This window comes from Homo sapiens, chromosome 7 (assembly GCF_000001405.40).
Source record: "Homo sapiens chromosome 7, GRCh38.p14 Primary Assembly".
NCBI lineage: Eukaryota > Metazoa > Chordata > Mammalia > Primates > Hominidae > Homo > Homo sapiens.
The window spans coordinates 26,201,161-26,224,119 of record NC_000007.14 but is presented as its reverse complement, the minus strand read 5'-3'; the positions used below and the strand labels follow the sequence as shown (position 1 = coordinate 26,224,119).

Here is a 22,959-nt window from a genome sequence, read left to right as displayed (position 1 = left end):
TGATTTTATTTTTAGTTTTCTGAGGAACCACCATTCTGTTTTCCATAATAGCTGTACTAATTTACATTCCCGCTAACAGTGTGCAAGGCTTTCTTTTTCTCCACATCCTTGCCAACACTAGTATCTTTTGTTTTTGTGCTAATAGCCATTGTTAACAAGTATGCAGTGATAGCTGATTGTGGCTTTAATTTGCATTTCCCTGATGATTAATTATGTTAAGCATTTTATTATATAACTCTTGTCTCTTTGATATGGGAGAAAATATTTGCAAACCATACATCTGATAAGGGGTTAATATCCAAAATACCGAAGAAACTCAAAACAACTCAATAGCAAGAAAAATAATAACCAGATTAAAAAATGATTTTTTTTTTTTTTTTAAGACGGAGTCTCGCTCTATTATCCAGGCTGGAGTGCAGTGGCACGATCTTGGCTCACTGCAAGCTCCGCCTTCCGGGTTCACACCATTCTCCTGCCTCAGCCTCCCGAGTGGCTGGGACTACAGGCGTCTGCCACCATGCCCGGCTAATTTTTTGTATTTTTAGTAGAGACGGGGTTTCATGGTGTTAGCCAGGATGGTCTCGATCTCCTGACCTAGTTATCCACCTGCCTCAGCCTCCCAAAGTGCTAGGATTACAGGCGTGAGCCACCGCACCTGGCCTAAAAAATGATTTTTAAAAGTATTTTTTCAGCTAACTGCTTTCTCATACTGCAGCTTTTTCTTTTTTTTTTGTTTTTGAGATGGAGCCTTGCTCTGTCGCCCAGGCTGGAGTACAGTGGTGCGATCTCGGCTCACTGCAACCTCCGCCTCCCAGGTTCAAGCGATTCTCTTGCCTCAGCCTCCCGAGTAGCTGGGATTACAGGCACAGACCACTATGCCAGGCTAATTTTTTTGTATTTTTAATAGAGATGGGGTTTCGCCATGTTGGCCAGGCTGGTCTCGAACTTCTGACCTTAGGTGTTCCACCCGCCTCGGTCTCCCAAAGTGCTGGGATTATAGGCGTGAGCCACCATGCCCAGCCAGCTTTTTCTTTAAGCATTGAATTATTGAAATATAATTCACATAACATACTATTTACACATTTATAATGTACAATTAAATATCTTAGTATAAAGCTTGTTCAACCAGAGGCATGATTCATATGTGGCATGTTCTTTCTTTTGGCTGGCTGAACAAGGTGTCCCAATTGCATATGTCTGCTTTACTCACTCCTGTATTTCAATCCAGTTTGATTGAGTGTTCTCACCAGCATCCATGTTAAAATGTAAATGCCACCAGGAAAAGAAATATGGCTGTGTAGAATAGACCTGGGTCCAAACCAAGTACAGTACCAGCTCAGTATAGAGCGAATGGTTAAAACTTGTTTTATAATAATAGTACCATTTTAAATTTAAGCTGCTTGTTTGAAGAATAGTAATTTTCATCATGGATTTAATTCATCCTTGAAAATGACCATGTACTCAAAATCCCTGAACTCTTCTCACTTCCCCTTGTTCTTCCCTCTTTTCTCATAGCAAAATGATAGGGTATGGGACCATATTAGTCCACTGTTCTGCTACCGAAGAAAAATACTTATGCTTTTAGTTAGATAAATGAGAATAGAAGGATAAATTATTAACAGTATAGAAGACAATGATCCAGCATGGCCAAAAAGGTGAAACCCCATCTCTACTAAAAATACAAAAATTAGCAGGGTGTGGTGGCTTGCGCCTGTAATCCCAGCTACTCGGGAGACTGAGGTGGGAGAATCGCTGGAACCCGAGAGGCAGAGGTTGCAGTGAGCCAACATCGCGCCACTGCACTCCAGCCTGGGTGACAGAACAAGACTCTGTCTCAAAAAAAAAAAAAAAAGACAATGATAAACACAAGGAAGGCCATTGTAGATTATGTGGGGTCAATTAAAGCAGGCTTCGTGATTTAGAGAGGGAAAAAAAAATAGTGTTCATTCCTAGGACTATCTTATTAATTCAGGCATTCAGGCACTTGACTCACCCAAACTATAGCACTTTTTCTTTTTTGAGACGGAGTCTCGCTCTATCACTCAGGCTAAAGTGCAATGGTGCAATCTCAGCTCACTGTAACCTCTGCCTCCCACGTTCAAGCGATTCTCCCGCCTCGGCCTCCCAAGTAGCTGGGATTACAGGCACCCGCCATCATGCCCAGCTGATTTTTGTATTTTGGTAGAGACGAGGTTTCACCATGTTGGCCAGGATGGTCTCGAACTCCTGGCCTCGTGATCCGCCCGCCTCGGCCTCCCAAACTTCTGGGATTACAGGCATGAGCCATGGCACCCGGCAGCACTTTTAAGTTAAAAAAAAAAAAAAAAAAAAATATATATATATATATATATATATATATATATATATATATATAATTTTTTGTGCTGTCTAGCCTTAATATGTAATCCATATGTCGAGCTTGCTGTATTGCATTTTTAAATGGTAGAACTGGCCGAGTGCAGTGGCTCACGCCTGTAATCCCAGCACTTTGGGAGGCTGAGGCGGGAGGATCACTTGAGGTCAGGAGTTTGAGACCAGCCTGGCCAACATGGTGAAACCCCATCTCTGCTAAAAATACAAAAATTAGCCAGGCACGGTGGCAGGCACCTGTAATCCCAGCTACTCAGGAGGCTGAGGCAGGAGAATTGCTTGAACCTGGGAGGTGGAGGGTTGCAGTGAGCCGAGATTATGCCACTGCACTCCAACGTGGGTAATAGAGCAAGACTCCGTCTCAAAAAAAAAAAAAGGTAGAACCACTATACTTCAAGCCCAAATTTAAATCTCGGGCCCTTCCTCCAACACTCCTTTCCCCAAATAGATGCTAGGTCCTCTCTTCCAGGTGCTAGGCATACAGCAGTGAAAAAGACAAGTACTTGTTCCCATGTTCTAGAAGAGGGGAAAGCAAAAGATTCAGTCCTCCTCTGCCCTGGTTTGCCTAACAACCACCTGTGGAAAGATCAGTATCTTATTTCTTCATGATACTACAAAGGAGCAGTATAATTTGCTTTAAGAATTCTGTCCTACTAGATGTCATGTTTTGGTGCTAGAAAATGGTTGACTATGGCTTTCTGTGGTGAACAACTGGGATTTCAGAGTAAATCTGAGTTTTTCATTGTATTGCCACTCTATGTAACAAACTGCAAGAAAGCTACAGCATTCTCTCTGCAAAATGTCCCAATTTTTATCGTTTTCATCAGGTCAGAGATAGCTTTCTATAATATTACTTAGAAAGTTTTCTTGGGGCAAAGAAATCAGATATTCATGAAAGCTAAACAAAGAGACTAGAGAATTAAGAGGAAGGAAACCCACTGCAACACTGTTTTAATTTCCCTTTAAAATGTGTCCATCTTGGGGTCTATCCAAAAGTGTTCAGTTACTGAAATACCAAAAAGGCCTTGTTAAGTGATGGCATGGATATTGAATATATATCTTCTTTGGTTTCTTAATTTCATTCTTAAACTTCCCAATGCCCATTCTCACCTACACTTTTCACCTTGATGTCTGCCCCTCATTTTTCTTGATTCATTTCACTCGATTCTCTCCTACTTTCATCAAAATGAATAAGAACATACAGACACTAAAAGTGACTTTAGAGCACTAAAAATATTAGCTTAATATATAAGAATGACCAATTCAGGATATTAAATTAGGGTGTTGTTAGTGTCTAATAAAATGCATCAGGGAAATAGGTAATTGTTGGATACCATTGAGCTTGACTGATCCTTATAGTAGAAGTTGAAATATGGCCAGGTGCGGTGGCTCATGCCTGTAATCCCAGCACTTCGGGAGGCTGAGGCAGGCAGGTCACAAGGTCAGAAGTTTGAGACCAGCCTGGGCCAACATGATGAAAACCCTGTCTCTACTAAAAATACAAAAATTAGCTGGGGCATAGTGGCACATGCCTGTAATCCCAGCTACCTGGGAGGCTGAGACAGGAGAATCATTTGAACCCGGGAGGTGGAGGTTGCAGTGAGCCGGGATCGCGCCACTGCACTCCAGCCTGGGCGACAAGAGTGAAACTCCGTCTCAAAAAAAGAAAAAAAAAAAAAAAGAAATTGACATATAAGGAAAAAGGTTGGCATGAAAGATTATTTAATATTAGTTTTAGTGTCATATTATTTTCTCCTTTAAGGAGCTAAAATGCAAAACTTCTAGAATAAGGATAAAAGGGAGTCTATGGGCAGGGCGCGGTGGTTCACGCCTGTAATCCCAGCACTTTGGGAGGCAGGCGGATCACGAGGTCAGGAGATCAAGTCCATCCTGGCTAACACGGTGAAACCCCTTTTCTACTAAAAATACAAAAAATTAGCCGGGCGTGGTGGCAGGCGCCTGTAGTCCCAGCTACTCGCAAGGCTGAGGCAGGAGAATGGCGTGAACTCAGGAGGCGGAGCTTGCAGTGAGCAGAGATCGCACCGCTGCACTCCAGCCTGGGCGACAGAGCGAGACTCTGTCTCAAAAACATAAAAAATAAAATAATAATAAAAAAAGGGAGTCTATGGTCTTAAGTTTTCTAAAAAGTGGCCGGGTGCAGTGGCTCACCCCTATAATCCCAGCACTCTACTCTGGGAGTGCCAAGGCGGGAGGATTGCTTAAGCCCAGGAGTTTGAGACTAGGCTAGGCAACATAGTGAGACCTCGTTCTACAAAATAAACAAAATTAGCCAAATGTGGTGGTGCGTGCCTGTAGTCCCAGCTACTTGGGAGGCTGAGATGGGAGGATTGCTTGAGCCTGGGAAGTTGAGGCTGCAGTGAGCTGTGATCATGCCACTGCACTCCACTCTGGTGACAGAGCAAGACCATCTCAAAATTAAAAAAAAAAAAAAAATCTAAAAAGCAAGAACAAAAGGTATTTTAAGAAGGCATTTTCAGCCAGGCGTAGTGGCTAACGCCTATAATCCCAGCACTCAGGTGGAACACCCAAGGTCAAGAGATCGAGACCATCCCGGCTAACATGGTGAAACCCTGTCTCTACTAAAAATACAAAAAATTAGCCGGGCGTGGTGGCAGGCGCCTGTAGTCCCAGCTACATGGGAGGCTGAGGCAGGAGAATTGCTTGAACCCGGGAGGTGGAGGTTGCAGTGAGCCGAGATCACGCCACTGCACTCCAGCCTGGGTGACAGAGCGAGACTCCATCTCAAAAAATAAATAAATAGATAAATAAGAAGGCATTTGCAAATTGGCTGAAATTCCATACGTTAGTTATACATTTTGTTTATATAGGGCAAATATCCACCTTTTCCTGGAAAGCACTCTTCTGCTGATTGATGTAATCATAGTACTCCACACATCTCCTTATGCTTGATAGTTCCAGGGAGGACATCTGATGCAAGCCAGGACAAACAGAGATCTTTTAGAGGAATTTTTTTTTTTTTTTGAGATGGAGTCTCGCCCTATTGCCCAGGCTAGAGTGCAGTGGTGCAATCTTGGCTCACTGCAGCCTCTGCCTTCGGGGTTCAAGTGATTCTCCTGCCTCAGCCTCCCGAGTAGCTGGCATTACAGGCACACGCCACCACGCCCGGCTAATTTTTATATTTTTAGTAGAGATGGGGTTTCACCCTATTGGCCAGGCTGTTCTCGAACTCCTGACCTCATGATCTGCCTGCCTCGGCCTCCCAAAGTGCTGGGATTACAGGTGTAAGCCACCATGCCCGGCCTTAGAGGACTTTTTTTTTTTTTGAGACCGAGTTTCGCTCTCATTGCCCAGGCTAGAGTACAGTGGCCTGATCTCGGCTCACTGCAACCTCTGCCTCCCAGGTTCAGGCAATTCTCCTGCCTCAGCCTCTGGAGTAGCTGGGATTGAAGGCACCCGCCACCACACCCAGTTAATTTTTTGTATTTTTAGTAGAGACAGGGTTTCATCGTGTTGGCCAGGCTGGACTCGAACTCCTGACCTCAGGTGATCCACCCGCCTGGGCCTCCCAAAGTGCTGGGATTACAGGCGTGAGCCAAGGCATCCATCTAGAAGATTTTATTTATTTATTTATTTTTAGACAGAGTTTCACTCTGTTGCCCAGGCTGGAGTGCAGTGGTGCGATCTCTGCTCACTTCAAGCTCCGCCTCTCAGGTTCATGCCATTCTCCTGCCTCAGCCTCCCGAGCAGCTGGGACTACAGGCACCATCACCACCGCCCGGCTAAGTTTTTGTATTTTTAGTAGAGACGGGGTTTCACCGTGTTAGCCAGGATGGTCTCGATCTCCTGACCTCGTGATCCACCCGCCTCGGCCTCCCAAAGTATTGGGATTACAGGCGTGAGCCACCGTGCCCGGCCAGAAGATTTTTAAACTGGACACTAGAGTGAGTCTCAGTCTCCTTAGAACAAACCTGGGGATATGGGAGTTGCTAGCAGCTCTGTTTTCGGTTTGTGGAAATCAGTCCCAAAGAAGAGAGCTAACGTAAGGAAAGCAGCAGACACCAGGGATGGCGAGTCTTGGGGTTGTGCTGGGTCAAGGTTCCAGACATCTGAGGCACACAGTGGAGGCTGGCAATAACACTGATCTGGTTCTTCTTATTATATACCAGATATTCAGCTCTAGGTGTTTTTCACATTTCACATTTAATCCTGAAAACCTCACGAGATAAGTACCATCATTATCCTGCCTGTTTTACGGATGAAAATATTGAGGCATAGGAAAGTTAAGTAACTTGCCTAAATATACAATAAATCCGAACAGCAAGTTCGGATTTAAACTGAAGAGGTCAAGCTCCAGAGCCAGTGCTCTGAACTACTTTGTTATTGTCTCTAGGCCAGGAATTTCCTTTATCTTTTTTTTTTTTTTTTTTTTTTTTTTTTTTTTTTTTTTGAGAAAGAGTCTCACTCTGTAGCTCAGGCTGGAGTGCAGTAGCGCAATCTTAGCAAACTCTGCCTCCCGGGTTCCAGCAATCTCCTGCCTCAGCCTCCCAAGTAGCTGGGATTACAGGCAGATCGACTATTGGAGTTCTTAAGTTGTTAAAATTGCTCCTCTTATTCAGTGAATATTCAAGGCATAAATTCACTTGATTCAACAAAGGATAAAAGGGTCTCTATTGTATAGGTAACATACAAATACAGACACAAAATATTCACATTTCACTTCATATTAGAGATTGTTTTATTGTTGTTGTTTTGAGATGAGGCCTCGCTCTGTTGCCCAGGCTGGAGTACAGTGGCACAATCATAGCTCACTGCAGCATCAAACTTCTGGGCTCAACGGATCCTCCCACCTTAGCCTCCCAAAGTGCTGGGATTACAGCTATGAGCCACCGCACCCGGTCTCTTTTTTTCTTGATATTCAATGTCCATATTGGCTTAATAAAACGAAAAGGGCCAGGTATGGTGGTTCACACCTGTAATCTGAGACAGAAGGATCACTTGAGATCAGGAGTTTGAGATCAGCGTAGGCAACATAGTAAGACCTGGCTCTAAAAAGTAGCCAGGCATGGTGGCATGTGCCTGTAGTCCCAGCTACTCAGGAGGCTGAGGTGGGAGGATCACTTGCCCTCAGGAGTTTGAGGCTGCAGTGAGTTGATTGTCCCACCGCTCTCCAGTGCAGATGACAGACGAGGACCCCCATCTCTGGAGGGGAGAAAAAAGCCTACTGTAAGGATCAAATGTAAGACAGCCTATGAGTTTTTCCCATTAAAACACATTTGTCTTCATTAGTCTTCTGGGGGAATAGAGCCATACATATGAGTCCAGCTAGGAGCCTGAGGGTCGTGTGGTTAAGACAAAATAAACTGGGCTGTTTTTTGTGTGACAGAAATAGAAAAGGAAGATCTAGTAATAATCAAACTCAAATGCATGATTTCCTGTCATGCATTGCTTAATGACAGGGATGTTCTGAGAAATGCATCATTAGGCAATTTCATTACTGTGTGAACATCACACAATGTACTTAGGCAAATCTAGATGGTACAGCCTACTCCACACCTAGGCCAGATATTGCTCCTAGGCTACAAACCCATACAGCATGTTACTATATTGAACACTGTAGGCAACTGTAACACAACAGTAAGCATTCATGGATCTAAACATAAAAAAGGTAGTGTAAAAATACTGATATTATAATCTTATGGGATCCACTATCGTATATGCTGTCCATCATTGATCAAAGCCTTGTTATGCAGAACATGACTAATCTACATATGAGGAAATGCAAAGTTAAATATGAAAAGAATGCTCAACAAAATCAAACATGCAAAATTAAACCAAGATGCCATCAGATTGACTAAAAATTAGTAAAATCGGCCTGGCAAGTGGATCATGCCTGTAATCCCAGCACTTTGGGTGGCTGAGGTGGAAGGATCACTTGAGCCCCGGAGTTTGAAACTGGCCTGGGCAACATAGTGAGGCCCCATCCCTAAAAAAGATTAAAAATTAGTAAGATCAATGTTGTTAATTTGTAGTCCTAGTGAGGAAATGGGGTAATGGTTATTGATAGAAATCACTGCAATCTTGACTTCTCTGATGACTTCTGAGAATCCATCTATCTGCTAAGTGTCACTATATGTAAGAATGTGCACTACATTAATCCTTTTTTCGAGACAGAGTCTCGCTCTGTCACTCTGTCACCAGGCTGGAGTGCAGTGACATGATCTCAGCTCACTGCAACCTCTGCCTCCAGTGTTCCAAAGTGATTCTCTTGCCTCAGCCTCCTGAGTAGCTGGGACTACAGGTGCACGCCACCATGCCCTGCTCATTTTTGTATTTTTAGTAGAGACACGGTTTCTCCATGTTGGCCAGGCTGGTCTCCAACTCCTAACCTCCTGATCTGCCCGCCTTGGCCTTCCAAAGAGCTGGGATTACAGGCGTGAGACACCTCGCCCGGCCTCACTACATTAGTCTAATAGTAGGAAACTACCAACCACCTGAGTACTCATACCCAGCAATTGGTTAAGTTGGGGAGCTGCCATATGATACCCTACTATGTCCCTATTTAAAAAGATATAAAATATCTTGATTACTAAACAAACACAAGACACTGTTCTGTCTCACATGCATACATTTCACCCTTATAGGAGCCCATGAATAACAGATGAGGAAACTCAGACACAGAGAGGTGAAGTACATTAATTTGTTCAGAATCAAATAGCAGATTCCAACCCAGGTAACCTCTCTGGAGTGGCTAGCAGCTATGCTAGAATAGAGTATATTTTAGTGTATTTATTAAGTAAGATGACCCAAGATAACAACTGGGTGAAATATAAATTGCAAATATATTTTTTGTTAAAAACTATTTTTTTTGAGTTTCACTCGTCGCCCAGGATGGAGTGCAATGGTGCAATCTTGTCTCACTGCAACCCCCGCTCCCTGGGTTCAAGCAATTCTCCTGCCTCAGCCTCCACAGCAGCTGAGATTACAGGAACACACCCCCATGCCTGGCTAATTTTTGTATTTTTAGTAGAGAGGGGGTTTTGTTATGTTGGCCAGGCTGGTCTTGAAATCCAGAGATATGGGTATCAATTGAACTTCGGGTTTGAAGCAAGGAAATTGATGAGGTGGCCTTACTTCTGTAGCATCTGAGTTGTTACAAGAAGCCTATTACATAAACATCAGAGGGTAGAAATGATAGAAAAAGGGTTTTCTCTTCAGCTAAAGATCTAAGCTCCAGGAATTCAAGAATTTGAATGAATGGTTTGGCTCAATCCTTCCATAATACACCGTGGTAGACAGGAGAGATGGAAAGAGGAAGAGAGGAAGGGCGAGAAAGATGATGCAAGATGCTCCACTGCTTGCTGATTCTGAAGATGGAAAGGGCCAGGAACCAAAGAATATACGTGGCCTTTTGAAATGGAAGAGAGAAGGAAAGATTCTGCCATCAAAGCCTCCAGAAGGAATTCCCCTGATAACCTGACTTCAGCTTGCTTAATTTTGGACTTCTGACCTACAGAACTATTTTCAGCCATAAATGGGTTAAATTTGTGGTAATTTGTTAAAGCACCAATAAGAAACTAATACAAACACTAGAGAATATAAAAAAACAATATTTTTCAAATTTTTTGAGAAACAGTCTGTCATCCAGGCTGGAGCACAGTGGTATTGACATAGAGCTCACTGTAACCTTAAACTCCTAGGCTTAAGGGACCTTCCCAAGTAGCAAGGACTACAGGTGCAAGCCACCACACCCAGCTAATTTTAAAATTTCTTGTAGAGGTGGGGGTCTCACTGTTGCCCGGGCTGATCTCAAACTTCTGGGATTCAAGTAATCTTCCTGCGTTGGCCTCCCCAAATTTTGGGATTACAGGTGTGTGCCACCATGCATGGCCAAAGGACAATATATTGTTTTCAGAAATGCCCTTAGTAAAATTGAATGTAGGGCCACCAACTACTAATATGAATAGAAGGTTCTCTATCATCTGTGAACCCACCGCTGAGAGCAGTGGTGGGTATATATATATATATATAAGGAGGTACTTAATAAACATCAGTTATTTACCTTTTTCTGTATGGATTTTGGAAATCAATTAAAATGTGTCTATCATCACACTGAGCCCTATCAGAATACTTTACATTCTTTAGAAGACAGTTACAACAAACCAGAATTTAAAACCTCATTTTAATGAGACAATTGACCCTAGGCATCACATGAAACTTTTATTTCCCAACTGTGGAAACATTCCTGTGGAAATACATATTCAAGTTTAAAACTCGTAAGCTCAAAAGATCTAGGATATGTACTGTAATGCCTTACTGGTATCATCTAACTTATAAACAAAGATAATCCAATGAGTGTGGGCATTTCTATTTCTACTGTAAAGGCATATCAAATAAAGAAAAAAGTCTAATAATTGCATAAAGGAATATAAAACTATTTATTAACCACTGTTCACCAGTATTTACAATAAAGTAAACAATATACAGTTGGATAACATTTTGATTACTACAAAGTTGTTCTTCCTGGCTTTTGCTGAACCAGTAAAGCAAACTCAAGATTGAGCCTCCATGTAATGAATTGGGGTAAAGAAAAAACATGCAGGTCAATAGGTTAGGTTACAAAAGGTTGTTCACACATTTATGACAGCAGGTCCTAAACTGCCAACACCTCTAACCATCTGATTAGGTTTCTATGAGCCAAGTCTTACATATTCCATTCATCATGACCTTTTAGTCAATGTAGCAACAGGGATTCCAACATTTTGCTAAGGAATGGCCCGCTAGGGAAACTTTTAAATGTTCATTTAACTTAGTTTTGTTTAGCTAGTTAAAACACACTAGCATTTGTCTAGTTTCCTCATCTGGATGAGGAAACCTGCTGTGATGGCAGTGATAAAATTTTTCCTTTTAGGAATTTTGCAAATAAACCACTGCAATTATAGACACTTTAAAATTATCCAATTTAAATTGTCCTATCTAGAATTACTTATTTCACTTGAAATGTATGGTTTCAGGAAAATTTTCAATTTAACTTGAAGGGATTATCTCTTATTTTGCTTGGAATAATGGCATCTCAGAAACATGGGTTTACCTGTGATTTTTTTGTTTGGGTGAATGCTTAAAAACAAAAAAAAATTTACATATGCATTTTATGGATACACACACACACACACACACACACACACACAAAAAACACGTAATAAATCTAGAATGGTCCTTAGGCTCATGAGAACACAAGTTTTGACTGAGTAATGACTATGGACATTTCCCCCAACATTTAGAAAAGCTGTTCTTTAATGAAGAGGAAATGATATACCATGGTATCAAATGTTCTTTTCTGATAAAGGAAGCAACTACAGAAAGCTTTTATTTATTTGTTCAAAGTAACCAGTGCTATGGATGCAAAAAACCCCCAACAACTCTTCCAACGCTACTTTCAAAACAAACATATCAAACTTGATTTTCATTAGGATGTAGTTATTTTGTCACACTAGTAAATCAAAATCTAAGACCCAATTTTTATATATATATATAAATATATATAAAAGAACAATGTGAACAATTATTGAGCTTCATCTTCTGGACAAGAATGCCAAGTTAGTCTCTCTTCATAAAAAGCAATTACAATTTGAGGACACTTCATATTTGCCTCTTTCGCCAGCACCAAGTCTGCCTCATCTGAATCTTTCCTGTTTTAAGAAAAAGAAAAATTCAGTTACAAGTCGAAGTTGTTCATGTCAACCGACAGCCATTCATTTAAGAAATAATAGTCCAAACAAAAGGTATTGAAGTGCTCCAGGAGAGTTATGTTACTTGTTGCTATGTTCTAATAAACTTCATTTTCAAAACAGGCCACAGTTTGCTGACCCTTGCTTTAAAACACTACTAGTAAAAGTAACCAGAATCATCCTCTCAGCAGATAGTTTTTCCCTACCTAATGATGAAAAACCATTTCACAAATTAAAAAAAAAAAGCTACTCTTACTTTCAAATGTAACAATCTCTGCATACTCACCATTTCATGAGAAACATCAATTCTCCACTGCTGTCTGTGGCACCAATTATTCTTTCAGGATCAAGACCTCTGGCAAATCCTCTTGGTTTGTCAGCCTGTTTAGAAGACATTTTTTCATACAGCAAACTCAGAGTATTAAATTGTTTTCATGGCGTATTTTAAATAAAAACATTCCAATAGTGAGATGGAAATGACTAGAGCAAGAACCCATATTTGGTAATTAAAAACATCTGATTTCCATTAACTTTACAAGCAGAAAAACCTGAGTTTGATACTCAACGTAGAATACTTAAAATTTCTGAAAACATTCAGAATAAAAAGTCAAGAAAATTACTGCGTTCAATGACACCAAAGTCAGAGTTGTGTGGGCATACAGAAAAACTAACCTCTTTATTTCTGGTAATAATAAAGTCTTGAAAGTTAATATATTTCAAATGACTTCCAGGAATTAGTCTGAATTACTGACACATTTTAAAAGCATAAACAAAACACAAACGGTAAGAAATATTAAAAATGTTAAAACTCATACCAACTATCTGTAATCATTCTAAATGATAGTAAATGTTAGAACAAACTTGTGTAACCTGTGGCCCAGGATGGCTTTGGAGGCCCAACACAAATTTGTAAACTTTCTTAAAACATTGAAACTTTCTTGCGATTTTTTTTTTTTTTTTTTTTAGCTCATCAGCTATGGTTGGTATTAAGTCTATTTTATGTGTAGCCCTCGACAATTCTCCTAATGTGGCCCAGGGCTGCCAAAAGATTGGACCCCCTGCGCTAGAAAGTACTTAATATAAACCAGTGGCTCTCAAAATGTGGTCTACGGATTCACTGGGGATTCCAGAGTCCTTTTTGGGAGGGGGTTGTGTAAGGCCCCCTTTTTTCATCTATTTGTGACTTTGGATTGTCTTCATATACCTCCACCAAAATGATCCGCCACAGCAATCAAATGTGTTTAAGTAAAATTGCCTTAAGACACATGTTGAATATCTGTAAAAATGTAAAATGCTACTCTTCTCAGCTTTTTTAGAAAAGTCATTTTAGAAATTTGTTTTAATTTCTACTGTTAGTATTGATAATTATAACCCATATAAACAAAAGCTCTCTGGGGATCCTCAATAATTTTTTTAGAGTATAAAGAGGCCCTGAGACCAAAAAAAGTTTGAGAACCAATGATATCAATAAATCCTTTATTCCTGTCAGAGTTTTACATCAATGTCACAAGCTCTGGAGTCACACTGCCTGGGTGAGAATGATGGACCTACCCCACTTACGAGCTGTGTGGCTTTGGGCAAGTTAATTAACCTCTTTGTGGTTTAGGTTAATAAAACAGAATTTTAGTATCTACTGCACAGATATTTCACAGCACATTAAAAGCAAATAATTTGGCACACAGTATAGCACATGCTAAGGACTCAATAAGTGTTGTTAAAGTTGTGCCTGATTTATTATTTAATAATTTTTTGAGACAAGGTCTTGCTCCGTTGCCTAGGCCAAAGTGCACTGGCATGATCACAGCTCACTGCACCTTGAACTCCCAGGCTCAAGCAATCCTTCTGCCTCAGCCTCCCAAGTAGCTGAGACTACAGGAGGTGTCCACCACGTCTTGCTGATTCTTTTTTTTTTCTTTGTAGAGATGGGGTCTCACTATGTTGCCCAAACTGGCCTCCAACTCCTGGGCTCAAGCGATGTTCCTGCTTTGGTTTCCCAAGGTGCTGGGATTATAGGTGCGAGCCACCGTGCCTGGCCAAAACTGCTTCTGTTGAGCATGTGATTTATTTTCAAAACCAAATTTGTAGTCAATCTCGTTTCCTCATCTGTAAAATAGTGATTATACCTATGACCTTATACAGAGTTGTCTTGAAGGTTGTACTTGGCTTCTAGTTCAAATGATCAAGTTTTAAATCATGTTTAGTGCCTGAGCCTAGAACCTAATTCAGCACCAAGATGTTTCCCCAAATTGCCACACTAGGTCAGTAGGCAAGACAAGTATAATCTGTTTTACAATCAAGGGTGTAAGTAAGAAGTTACCTGATTTGCCTGACGCCACAGAGACATAAGTAAAGCAAAGACTGGACCAAAACACATGTATAGTGAATGAACTGAATGTCTCAATTCATGCCAAGAAAAGTGTTTAACTATTATCAAAGATTACAGACTTCAAAATCAAGGTATTGTTTGGCAATACAAAGATGACATGCAAGTACTTTTCGGTGGTCAATGCCATTGATGGACTATAATCAGAAAGTTCTATTTGCGTTGTTCTTACTGTAGTGCAAAGGCTTTCGATAATCCAATCTTAGTATTGTTTGTATTTAAGATTGCTAGCCTTGGATCACAGGTAATTGGTCTGATCAGGGATCAAATCCATGAAACTAAGAAAAATTGCACTAGCACAACCTAAGTGGCATGAGCACTTACTGCACATTTACACAAAGTAGGCTAAACCACGCCCATCCTTATTGTCCTAAGTATTAAAATATTTAAAATACGATTAAGAGGCCTTTTATAAAAGTATCTGAATTTTAAAAAAGCAAGTCGTCAAAGGTGGGCTTGGTGTGGTGGTTCACGCCTGTAATCCCAGCACTCTGGGAGGCCGAGGCGGGTGGATCACCTGATGTCAGGAGTTTGAGATCAGTCTGGCCAACATGGTGAAACCCCGTCTCTACTAAATATACAAAAACCAGCTGGGTGTGGTGGTACACGCTTGTAATCCCAGCTACTCTGGAGGCGGAGGTTGCAGTGAGCCGAAACTGCACCACTACACTCCAGCCTGGGTGACAGAGGGAGACTCTGTCTCCCAGGAAAAAAAAAAAAAAAAAAAAAAAAAAAAAAAAAAGGCCAGGCGTGGTGGCTCATGCCTACAATCCCAACACTTTGGGAGGCCGAGGCGGGAGGATCATGAGGTCAGGAGTTCAAGACCAGCCTGGCCAACATGGCAAAACCCCATCTCTACTAAAAGTACCAAAATTAGCTGGGCGTGGTGGTGGGCACCTATAATCCCAGCTACTTGGGAGGCTCAGGCAGGAGAATCGCTTGAACCCAGGAGGCGGCAGTTGCAGTGACCAAGATCATGCCATTGCACTCCAGCCTGGGCGACAAGAGCAAGACTCCATCTCAAAAAAACAAACAAACAAAAAAGAAATCAAGCCATCAACCTTTTACAAAAGGACAAGCTGGTGGGCAATATTTTATACTTACAGCATCTCTTTTCTTCTTTGATTTGCTGTCATCAGATTCACTGTCAGATAAAGATTTTCTTTTTGTACCATCTTTTTCTTTGCCAGCTTTCTGAGAGTTAAGAAACGCTTCAATCAATTCTGGACAATCTAAATTTTCTTCAGGTTCCCAAGTATTGTCAGCACTGTGTTTAGTTTATTAAAAAAAAAAAAGGTGATTGAATTAAATATGATTCATCACCATTATCCAGATCTATTTTAATAGACACCCGGGGGAATAAAAAGTCCTCTGTACTGCAGATACTAATCATTTCCTCCTTCCCTACATTACCCCACCCCCCAGCCTGCCTCCGCCAGAGACAGGGTCTTGCTTTGTTGCCCAGACGAGAGTGCAGTAGTGGAATCATAGCTCACTGAAGATTCCAACTCCCGACTCAAGCGATCCTCCACCTCAGCCCAAGTAGCTGGGACTACAGGCATGCACCACCATGCCCAGCTAACTTAAAACACACACTTTTTTTTTTTTTTTAATAGAGAAGGGGTCTCATTTTGTTGGCCAGGCTGGTCTTGAATTCCTGGTGTCAAGTGATCCTCCAGCCTTGGACCCCCAAAGTGCTGGAATTACAGGTGTGAGCCACTGCACCCAGGCCCTATATTCTAATTTGCTACCCTGAGACTCCAAATTAGTAAACCCAAATTACTGGGTAGAGGACAATAAAAGTCTCTGCTCTGTAGTATTATTTTCATTAAAGTCTTCTTTGGCCTGGCACGGTGGCTCACACCTGTAATCCCAGCACTTTGGGAGGCCAAGGCAGGTGGATCACTTGAGGTCAGGAGTTTGGGATCAGCCTGACCAACATGGTGAAACCCGGTCTCTGCTAAAATACAAAAATTAGCCGGGCATAGTGGCAGGCGCCTGTAGTCCCAGCTACTCAGGAGGCTGAGGCAGGAAAATCGCCTCAACTCGGAAGGCAGAGGTTGCAGTGAGCTGAGATCACGCCACTGCACTCCAGCCTGGGCAACAGGGTGAGACTCCATCTCAAAACAAAACAAAAAAAAGTCTTTTACATTACCTGTTACACTGCACATGGGAAGTACGCTATAATCATGCTAGTGGCCTTAAGTTTTGGGAGAAGAGGGAGGAGCCCATTCATTTCCTAATGTTTTGATGGGTAAAAATAATTTTTCATGTTTCATGGGCTTAATAAAGAAGGGACTTACGACACATACTTAATTTAAACTAAGAATACTGAAGGATAAAACAGGCAAACGTAAATCTCCCATTCAATTCATAATTCCCAAACTGCTATGAATTAAATGTGAAGAGCAGGGGAAGTAGGAGATAACAGATAGGTGAAGCCCAATCATTCGACTATCATATGCTCCATCTCCAGCGTGCTCAGGAAATTGATCTCCACCTATCCATTTTTAATTGTCACTGCCTATGGAGCTTTGTGGTGTAAGGGGGAAGAATCAAAGCAGATAAGCACAACAAACCCCAAGCGTTAAAGTATGTAATTGTTGCATGTTCAAGTTATTCACATTTTGTGAATAACATTATCAAGAATAATGAGAGCAATCCATATCAAAGAACACAAGGAACCAGAGAGCTTAAAACATGCCCAGGTTCTACTTCTTAGGTATAAGGATATAATAAACCTAGTATAAAGCCTAGATTATATGTAATCCTGTATGAGACCCACTAGTCTATATTGTAAAGCTTCAATGTTTTTAGCACCCTCTGTGTGGAGGAAAATAATGCAGATTATTCTAATTAGTGTAATATCTAACCACATTAAAATATATTACATAGTAAACTACACTCCATAATTTTATAAATTTGACTCCCCAGGGTAATAAACTAGTCTCTAGTCTGCTCACCTTCAACTGTACAATAAAGTCTTGGTTCTTTTGAAATAGACCTCAAATGAGACACCTAAAATTCAAAGTGTCTTTACATTTAAAGACACCTACAGGAAAGCAGGTAAAAGAGCCAGGTTAAAAACAAATTCTAAAACCACTTAGCTGCAGTTAAACATATAGTAAAGATGCACTAAAGTTTCTTACTCTGTAAATCCCTTCCACTTCAGGAAATATTCCACTTTCCCATTCACTACACGTCGATCTAGTACTTTTTCCACGACAAATTCTTCAGGCTCTGCCTCTTCAACTTTTTTACTCTTTCCATTCTGTTTTTTTCCCATTTTTTGCTAAAATAAAACAAAAGAGAAATTAAGAAATATTCCTCTTGAATTTTGAGCACATTTTCAAGGCTCAATTGCTTATATTATTATCACATTCGACATAAATTTTTACTTCTATATCCCAGGGCAGACACCTTCTGGAAAGATTAAAAGTCAACAGACAATAAAATAAAAGAATGCTTTATCTTGTTCATTTAGTTCAAACTTACAACCCACCACCAAAATAATACAATAAAAAAACACTATCTGGAAACAGTTATTTTTTTCCAGTCTTTTTTTTTGAGACAGGGTCTCACACTCTTGTCGCCCAGGCTGGAGTGCAGTGGCGTGATCTCAGCTCACTGCAACCTCCGCCTCCCCAGGTTCAAGCAGTTCTCATGCCTCAGCCTCCAGAGTAGCTGGGATTATAGGCGGATGCCACCATGCCGGGCTAATTTTTTTTGTGTTTTTATTAGAAACAGGGTTTCACCATGTTGACCAGGCTGGTCTCAAACTCCTGACCTGAAGTGATTCACCAGCCTGGGCCTCCCAAAGTGCTGGCATTACAGGCGTGAGCCACTGCGCCCGGCCCTGTAGTCTTAAAAGACCAAGTTTACTAATTTTCACTCATTTTAACAACACTGCAACAAACAACTATGCAGGAAGTACCTAAAGGGTGATACAGAGAAGCAAGTAGTAGTGACAGGTCTTAGGTGAACCTATGACAGACCTTGTATCCACCCCCAGATGGTAAAAGCCCCAGCCCCCTTCTCAATTCAAATATTAATGTCAAAAGCATCAATGATACAGAGAAAAGATAAATGCAGAATGAAAACATGGTTCAAAATCCTGATACCAACTGCAGGGTCAACTATAGAGACCACTAGGAGGTTCAATTAAAGGACAAGATTATTTTTCCATAATCTCTGTAGATAATATTTCCTACCACTTAGAACAAAACTATAAAGCTATCACTTCAAGAGACCAACATTACAAATTTATTTTAATTCCCTAAGGTGAAAAAAATCCTTCCTTCCTGGTTTCTCAAGAGAAAGTCTATACTGGTAACCAAATTCACTTTAAACAGGCATTTTCTTTGGTATGACACTATTTAAGAGAAGCAGGAAACCAACGTGAACCAGCTCTTTCCAATGGCTCAAGATTTCCTATGAGAGGACTAAAAATGGGGAAAATTTTTATGAGAGGATTAAAAATGGGGGAAAAAAAACCCTGAAATGGTTAATCAGAAGATCCTATGGGCTGAGAAGGAATCCATCTTAACATTTCATCTTAAAGCAAATGCTATTGCCGGGGGCAGTGGCTCATGCCTGTAATCCCAGCACTTTGGGAGGCCGAGGTGGGCAGATCATCTGAGGTCAGGAGTTTGAGACCAGCCTGACCAACATGGAGAAACCCCGTTTCTACTAAAAATACAAAATTAGCCAGGCATAGTGGTGCATGCCTGTAATCCCAGCTACTTGGGAGGCTGAGGCAGGAGAACTGCTTGAACCCAGGAGGCTTAAGTTGCGGTGAGCCAAGATCACGCCATTGCACTCTAGCCTGGACAACAAGAGAAAAACTCTGTCTCAAAAAAACACAAAAACAAAAAACCCAAATACTATTTAAAAAAGATAAACCTTAATTGCTCAATCATTAAAGCCATCCCACAAGTAAAGCAGCAAGCAGAAAAAAGTTAAGAACACCTCAAGGCTACAGAAGGACATTTCAAGCTATGCAGGCATATGAAGTGTGCAGACAGATATGTAAGAAAGGCCTCAAGACTGCAAAAGGGCATTTCAAGCTATGCAAGCATATAGGTAACACATACACACACACAAAATAAAAATCCCCTGAAATACAAAAACATGCAGCAAACACCTGACGTTTTTGGATACCATTTCTAAGTCAGGTGTTATGATTCTCATTAGTCAAGATACTTGAGTACTGGGCCCAAACAGCTTTCTGCCACTGTACAGTACAAGAAGGTAGGAATAATGGTGGGAGGAGCAAAGACAAACTGTAATAGACAGAAGTGTATCAGATACCTATACTACATGAAAAACAAAACAGCTACTGCCACAAAGGGAGAAGGCTAACAAAATAAAGTCAACAATAAATACAGAAAATGAAAAGGATACACACTAAGGTTTACAAAAAAAAAAAGGCAGACAAAATGCCATACAGTATTCATTCACTACTATGGCATTCATAAGCTAGTTTCAAATGCTCACTATTTTCTTTTATAGTATATATTTGCCTTAACCCAGCACTTTTTTCCAAAAGTGGATGAGTCAAAATAAATTTCCCATTATTTAAGTGAAATTAACAGCACACATATCTCACAACACTAATGAATTTTTAAAATGGAAAGTTAAGAACTTTTAAAGTGGCCAACCTGTGATCCTTCACAAAATAAACTAAATACAATAACAGACCCCAAAGGCTATCAATTGCGTGCAAAAACAACTTCTGTTTTCCAGGGTAAACAGAATCTAATGCAGAATCTAATGCAGGGTAAACAGACTTAATGCAGAATCTAATGATGGCACAAATTAAAAATCACTAACGTGCCCTTTTTAGTGTGAAACCCAGAGAGAGCACATACAAGCCAAAAACAAATGCTTTATTTTACCTAGGAGACATTAACATTCACCTTTACGTGTTTAAGATTAATGCAATGTTAAATATTGTGAAAACTGTAACTTTGAATTTCATGATTTTTATGTGAATATTCCAGGGTTTAAAAAAACTTGTAACATGACATGGCTGAATAAGATAAAAAAAAAATCTAGCCTTTTCTCCCTTCTGGCTCATATTTGCGATTTCGATCATTTTGTTTAAAAAACAAAACACTGCAATGAATTAAACTTAATATTCTTCTATGTTTTAGAGTAAGTTAAAACAAGATAAAGTGACCAAAGTAATTTGAAAGATTCAATGACTTTTGCTCCAACCTAGGTGCACAAGGTACCTTGTTCTTTAAATTGGGCTTTAATGAAAATACTTCTCCAGAATTCTGGGGATTTAAGAAAAATTATGCCAACCAACAAGGGCTTTACCATTTTATGTAACATTTTTCAACGCTGCAAAAATGTGTGTATTTCTATTTGAAGATAAAAATCCTCAGCAAAATCCACATTGCACTGTCCTTCAAAGATTAGCCTTCTTTGAACTAGTTAAGACACTATTAAGCCAAGCCAGTATCTCCCTGTAATGAATTCGTTTTTCTCTTAATTTTCCCCTGTAATTTACACTGGGAGAGCTGGGAAATATGTGGATGTAAATTTCTCAGCCACAGAGATGCAAAGTTATACTGTGGGGAAAAAAAACTTGAGTTAAATCCTTACATATTTTAGGTTTTCATTAACTTACCAATGTAGTTTTGTTGGAGGCCATTTTTTATTGCAGACTTGAAGAGCTATTACTAGAAAAATGCATGACAGTTAAGGTAAGTTTGCATGACACAAAAAAGGTAACTAAATACAAATTCTGTTTGGATTCCAACCCCCAAGTAGAGAGCGCACATTTCAAACGTGAATACAAATCCAGAGTAGATCTGCGCTCCTACCTACATTGCTTATGATGTACTTAAGTACGTGTCCTAACCATGTGAGTCTAGAAAGACTTTACTGGGGATCCTGGTACCTAAAACAGCTTCACATGGCTTAAAATAGGGGACCAATGTCTTTTCCAATCTAAGTCCCATTTATAATAAAGTCCATGTTCCATTTTTAAAGGACAATCCTTTCGGTTTAAAACCAGGCACGATTACCCAAACAACTCACAACGGTAAAGCACTGTGAATCTTCTCTGTTCTGCAATCCCAACTTGGTTTCTGCTCAGAAACCCTCCCTCTTTCCAATCGGTAATTAAATAACAAAAGGAAAAAACTTAAGATGCTTCAACCCCGTTTCGTGACACTTTGAAAAAAGAATCACCTCTTGCAAACACCCGCTCCCGACCCCCGCCGCTGAAGCCCGGCGTCCAGAGGCCTAAGCGCGGGTGCCCGCCCCCACCCGGGAGCGCGGGCCTCGTGGTCAGCGCATCCGCGGGGAGAAACAAAGGCCGCGGCACGGGGGCTCAAGGGCACTGCGCCACACCGCACGCGCCTACCCCCGCGGCGGCCACGTTAACTGGGCGGTCGCCGCAGCCTCGGGACAGCCGGCCGCGCGCCGCCAGGCCTCGCGGACGCGGGACCACGCGCCGCCCTCCGGGAGGCCCAAGTCTCGACCCAGCCCCGCGTGGCGGCTGGGGGAGGGGGCGCCTCCGCCGGAACGCGGGTGGGGGAGGGGAGGGGGAAATGCGCTTTGTCTCGAAATGGGGCAACCGTCGCCACAGCTCCCTACCCCCTCGAGGGCAGAGCAGTCCCCCCACTAACTACCGGCGCTGGCCGCGCGCCAGGCCAGCCGCGAGGCCACCGCCCGACCCTCCACTCCTTCCCGCAGCTCCCGGCGCGGGGTCCGGCGAGAAGGGGAGGGGAGGGGAGCGGAGAACCGGGCCCCCGGGACGCGTGTGGCATCTGAAGCACCACCAGCGAGCGAGAGCTAGAGAGAAGGAAAGCCACCGACTTCACCGCCTCCGAGCTGCTCCGGGTCGCGGGTCTGCAGCGTCTCCGGCCCTCCGCGCCTACAGCTCAAGCCACATCCGAAGGGGGAGGGAGCCGGGAGCTGCGCGCGGGGCCGCCGGGGGGAGGGGTGGCACCGCCCACGCCGGGCGGCCACGAAGGGCGGGGCAGCGGGCGCGCGCCCGGCGGGGGGAGGGGCCGCGCGCCGCGCCCGCTGGGAATTGGGGCCCTAGGGGGAGGGCGGAGGCGCCGACGACCGCGGCACTTACCGTTCGCGGCGTGGCGCCCGGTGGTCCCCAAGGGGAGGGAAGGGGGAGGCGGGGCGAGGACAGTGACCGGAGTCTCCTCAGCGGTGGCTTTTCTGCTTGGCAGCCTCAGCGGCTGGCGCCAAAACCGGACTCCGCCCACTTCCTCGCCCCTGCGGTGCGAGGGTGTGGAATCCTCCAGACGCTGGGGGAGGGGGAGTTGGGAGCTTAAAAACTAGTACCCCTTTGGGACCACTTTCAGCAGCGAACTCTCCTGTACACCAGGGGTCAGTTCCACAGACGCGGGCCAGGGGTGGGTCATTGCGGCGTGAACAATAATTTGACTAGAAGTTGATTCGGGTGTTTCCGGAAGGGGCCGAGTCAATCCGCCGAGTTGGGGCACGGAAAACAAAAAGGGAAGGCTA

At 42.2% G+C, this 22,959-nt stretch overlaps 1 protein-coding gene across 4 annotated transcripts, besides 2 other annotated features; it reads right to left on the bottom strand.

The window, feature by feature from the left end:
- Nucleotides 847-949: a silencer, noted in NCBI's record as "fragment chr7:26262791-26262893 (GRCh37/hg19 assembly coordinates)". NCBI's record gives its function as "represses an EF-1alpha promoter that drives an FKBP-Casp9 reporter gene in an ReSE screen in phorbol 12-myristate 13-acetate-treated (for megakaryocytic differentiation) K562 erythroleukemia cells {active_cell/tissue: K562(+PMA)}" and the evidence as "EXISTENCE:reporter gene assay evidence [ECO:0000049][PMID:32094911]".
- On the bottom strand, nucleotides 10,513-22,677 carry CBX3 (chromobox 3). 4 transcript variants are annotated; one of them, NM_007276.5, is made up of 6 exons: nucleotides 22,559-22,677; nucleotides 21,098-21,149; nucleotides 17,610-17,752; nucleotides 15,565-15,727; nucleotides 12,364-12,458; nucleotides 10,513-12,038 (listed from the first exon to the last, which is right to left on the bottom strand). In NM_007276.5, the coding sequence occupies exons 2-6, from the start codon at nucleotides 21,119-21,121 to the stop codon at nucleotides 11,912-11,914; spliced, it is 552 nt and encodes a 183-aa protein (NP_009207.2). In that variant the 5' UTR covers nucleotides 21,122-21,149; nucleotides 22,559-22,677; the 3' UTR covers nucleotides 10,513-11,911. The 4 variants fall into 4 exon arrangements, with proteins under 4 accessions (NP_009207.2, XP_005249668.1, NP_057671.2 ...); XM_005249611.5 differs by lacking the exon at nucleotides 22,559-22,677 and adding an exon at nucleotides 21,511-22,375; NM_016587.4 differs by lacking the exon at nucleotides 22,559-22,677 and adding an exon at nucleotides 22,294-22,375.
- Nucleotides 21,671-22,490: a silencer, noted in NCBI's record as "silent region_18035". NCBI's record gives its function as "represses an Ori minimal core promoter by ATAC-STARR-seq in GM12878 lymphoblastoid cells {active_cell/tissue: GM12878}" and the evidence as "EXISTENCE:reporter gene assay evidence [ECO:0000049][PMID:35858748]".